The sequence below is a fragment of the Homo sapiens genome, chromosome 3, assembly GCF_000001405.40.
Source record: "Homo sapiens chromosome 3, GRCh38.p14 Primary Assembly".
NCBI lineage: Eukaryota > Metazoa > Chordata > Mammalia > Primates > Hominidae > Homo > Homo sapiens.
The window spans coordinates 83,817,353-83,821,692 of record NC_000003.12 but is presented as its reverse complement, the minus strand read 5'-3'; the positions used below and the strand labels follow the sequence as shown (position 1 = coordinate 83,821,692).

Here is a 4,340-nt window from a genome sequence, read left to right as displayed (position 1 = left end):
ATGCAGAGAAAGTCAGTGTGTTTAGCCTGAGTAATTTGCAAGCTGATGTGTAGATACAACTATGCATCTTTATGTTATTGTTGTTTCTCTAGCATGGGTGTGCCAGATTATTTAATGGAGTTAAAACATTTTAGATTTCTTTATAACATTCACTCTGAAGATGAAGAATACTGAATATAGACAAGGAGGACTTTGAGCAATAGTCTGTTAAAGTAAGAGTAAATTTTGTATTAGAAGCCATAATCAAACTTTTCTGTTGTAAGGGAAACTTTCACTATTGAATAGAGTATTAGTTGCTGAGGGGAAAAAGTGACTGGTGCACTGGAGGACCCTTTCTTTTATTATTGAAATGGTGGGAAAGGTATGAGAGGGGATTAATCTGAAGTTAAGTTCACTATGGCAGGAATTCAAGGGTTCTTAGAAGTCAGAGGTTTTCAGCAATGGCTCATACTTTCCAGATCTGTTTTTGTTCTAGGCCCAGACGTCATCCAGTATTTCAGGTACCTCCACAGAGGTGAACCAATATATGAATTTTAACAAGTGATTTATATGCACATTAAACATTGAGGAGTATTGCTATGAGGCTCTGCCAGACAGTGTCCCAGAGAGAAGACATTTGGAAGAAGGCTGCCAGCCAATAACTATAAACATGTAGCATGAGTGAAAATAAACTTTAATTGTTTTAAGCCACATAGACATGGAGCCTTTTTTTCTGACTAAAGACTAATATAGCTTATTATGATTGAGACAGACATCGAAAGTTCCACTGCCACATAGGATAAGTGATCCCATACATGTACTAAACATATCGTACCTAAACATGAAATATGAAACATTCAAATAATTAGGTGCTGCCTGAATATAGTGTCCTACATAAAAAGATTATTTAATTCTTCAAATTATATTTCCCAATTACACAAAAATGAAGACATTTACTTTACAATGCATCTAATTAATGTAAGAAGACATGACTTCACTAATTTATTGCAACTATTCTAGTGTTTGGAACTACTCAGGGAACCCATTTTTAAAATAATTATTGCTTTCTCTTAAATTTAAAGAGAATTTTTCCAGCACTTTCCTTTGCTATATAAAGAATAACAACCTTCAATCATTTTTTTAAGACAATGGCTTGGCAATTTTCAAATGGCAGGCAGATTACTAACAAAAATAATTCTATTAGGACATCATACGCTAATGACCTATGTCATTATTTGTCATAATATTTTTAAGGAACACTCATAAAAATGAACTGTTTTACTCTCAGTTCTACACTTTAAAAAAAGAAGACTTTCACAGAGTTAAGGAAGGTAAAGTGAGAGCTTACAGAATATGGCTATCACAATTAAATTGAGTCCATGAATGATAGGTATGTTTCTGAAAAATCACTAAGAAATAGCTTTAGTAAACAAAAAAGCTTAAATCATGGGTTTGAATAACATCACTTACAAGTTGAAGGTGGGGGTCTGAGAGAAGACTAATGTAATCAGGAACTATCATTCCAATAGAAAAATTTTTTTGGAACACTGGATAATTAAAAAAGAGAAAAGTTGGGTCTGAGAAAAGCAGAAAGTTTTGTTAATGCATGAACTCCGTCACATAGGGAAGTCAGGCAATGCCCTAGTCTAAACAAATAAGATTGGGGCATAGTCACAAATTACTGCTCTTTCTCTCATTATTGTATGCTAATGAACCATCCTTTAACAGGGGAAGCCACAGCAGAAACCTCCACCTAAATATCCTTTACCTTCTACACAAATTATTCTACGAGGTGTAATGCACCTCCAGATTGAAAAGTTTTAAGTTAAAAGGTAAATTTGATCATGTAAAATAAGTTTTACTTACTTTGGATAATATGTTCTTCTTAGAAATCTATAAAAATATAATCAACAACAAACCCATTTGAAATTGATTACTAGAATGGCAAGAAGTATAATATTGAAATATTTATTTACATAAATGTTGCCCCACACAAATCTATTCTATCATCAGTCTGTAAAATCAGATTTCTGCAGAGGACTCAAGAGAATATTGAAATGTGCCTATCCACCAAATTAATATCAACTTGATCTTATTTATCTTTGCCTCTATTGATATCAGGTCTATGTAACATGAGGCCTCTGCAACGTTAACCAGCTTACATATTCCAGCCCATAAAAGCAAGGCGTTGCCCTGGAAAACAAGATATAATCTGAGCAGAAAATTTATAAAGAAAACTGATCATTTGTACTGTAGAAATTAGAGCTAAACCTATGAGTAAATTAAGAACGGTGCCATAGAAGCCTTTGATGTGAGATTTCTTAGAATAGTCTCTCAACTTAAACTCCTATTGACATTCCAGCAATAAAGTTACATTGGTGCAAAAGTAATTGTGGTTATTGCAATCCTTTGCACCAATCTAATATTTGTGTGACCTTAATTAAGCAAGTCTCTTATTCTCTTCCAATTTCAGCTTCCTCATCTACAAAACTGAGAAGTCCTAAAGAGCACTTTATTCTGAGGGTTAAAGCGATGATAAGAGGAACTGAAAGACAGTAGATATTAAGTGCTAGTACCTCTTCCTGAGATATCCCTAGCAACTTGAATTCAGTAGCATTATGGGGAAAAACTGACCATCAAACACACACGTATGTTTGTAAACACAAACTATTGTTTTTCCGCCCATCGAGAAAAGAAAATGTTTTCTGAAATTTATCAAATAATTTTCTCTCCAACATATTTATTTGACATTTGCAGTTAGGTCAGACACTTCTCCTGTAGCAATTACTTCAGTTTGATTGATAATCTACACAGATTCTGGACTGTAAGACAATACATACATAATGGATTAAGCAATATTTGAGATGAAATGTGTGAAATTATTTTTAATAATTTATCCTGAACTATCAACCAAGTATAGATGGCAAGTTTCAGAAAACATTATTTTCTTTGAACAATTAGACAAAATTATTCTTGGCACATGAGAATATTTTAAATGATATGTAAAGAGGTTTAATGGTTTGAAAGGCCCTTGAATATCTTCACTATCACAAGCTTCAAATGGAGTTGGAAATAAATTATTTTGTGATCCTCCTGGAAGAGCAAACTAGTTTACTTTAGCTCATGTGCAATTAATTTTTAAACAATAGTTATTTAAAATATTCCTATTTTTTCCTCTTAATTGTATTTAAGGTCTGACACCAGTCCTTCCCTGTGAAAGAGCATCTTTCCTACGTCTTTCCCTACTGACAGGCACTTCTGCAACACCACTGATGTAAGAAAGGGTAAGTCAAAATGCCATCTGGCATCCTGGAAGAATTGACATTGATCAACACAAATTTAATCTAGGAATAAGTTCAACAATGTGTGTCTGCAATGTACTCTTGTTCTTCCAAGCAACTTTAAGTCAGTGATGTCCTACTTGATATTAAAGATGACAGAATATTGTTGGCAAGTCTTCTTAAAAGCGTAAAAAACACACAAAAAAAACTGCATACAGAAGACATATTAAACAAATCGAAAAGGTGAGGTCGACTATACTATGTATCCACAATGAAAAGTAACTTGTTTATCAGGTACCAAGACTTAAAACAGTGTTTATAATAAAATGGACTTCTGTATCCATACGTCAAAGAATGCCCAAACTGTCATATCCTTACTGTATTCTTGCTATAAAATACAGTAGAAGATGAGAAAAAACTTTTTATCTACTTGATTTCTCTCTCTCTTTTTCTCTCTGCAAATCCATATTTTGCATAAAAGAAACACACTGCATTGAATCATTAAAGTGATAATGCATTTGTTAAAATGGGGGGGGGCAAGGTTATAGAGTGGTCTTAGGCAGCATTCTTTTCTAAGTAAAGGAAAATCTAATAACCACCTTCAGGTTAACTATACCCCAAACATTTAGTACTTAAGTCAAGCAGAAAACAATTAAATGAATACACTAAAGAAAGACTCTCAAATCCCAAAGAGAACATAGATAAAATGCTAGTCATAAAATAGAATTTGCAAACATGCAAAATTACCCAAAAGTAAAAAGTAGTACAGAAAGCCACGTTGGCTTTTTATGTGCCCATCTTATGATATTTCCTAACACGGAAGGAGAGTCTGAGGCTACTCTAATCACTCTCTTTCCAAAGGAAAGTTTGGATTGTTTCATCATTTATTTTATTTGGATGTTAAGAATTTCTGGATCTGAGGCATTTTTTTTTTCTCTTGGAAAGCTTTACTATTTCCTGCCTTCACCTGTTCACTAACTTCACCTATGTGGTGTGGTTTATTCTCTTTCATAACTATTGATCCTTCTTCTTAACAAACCTGGCACTGCTTTGGATCTCTGTACTTCCACTGTTATTGTT

At 33.4% G+C, this 4,340-nt stretch overlaps 1 long non-coding RNA gene across 2 annotated transcripts; it reads left to right on the top strand.

The window, feature by feature from the left end:
• Positions 1–1,725: 1,725 nt before the first annotated feature.
• Positions 1,726–3,312, top strand: LOC105377186 (uncharacterized). 2 transcript variants are annotated; one of them, XR_941008.1, is made up of 3 exons: positions 1,726–1,811; positions 2,453–2,627; positions 3,232–3,312. It is a non-coding gene; the product is annotated as an uncharacterized LOC105377186 (long non-coding RNA). The 2 variants fall into 2 exon arrangements; XR_941007.1 differs by having other exon boundaries at positions 3,172–3,257.
• The last annotated feature ends 1,028 nt before the right edge of the window (positions 3,313–4,340 follow it).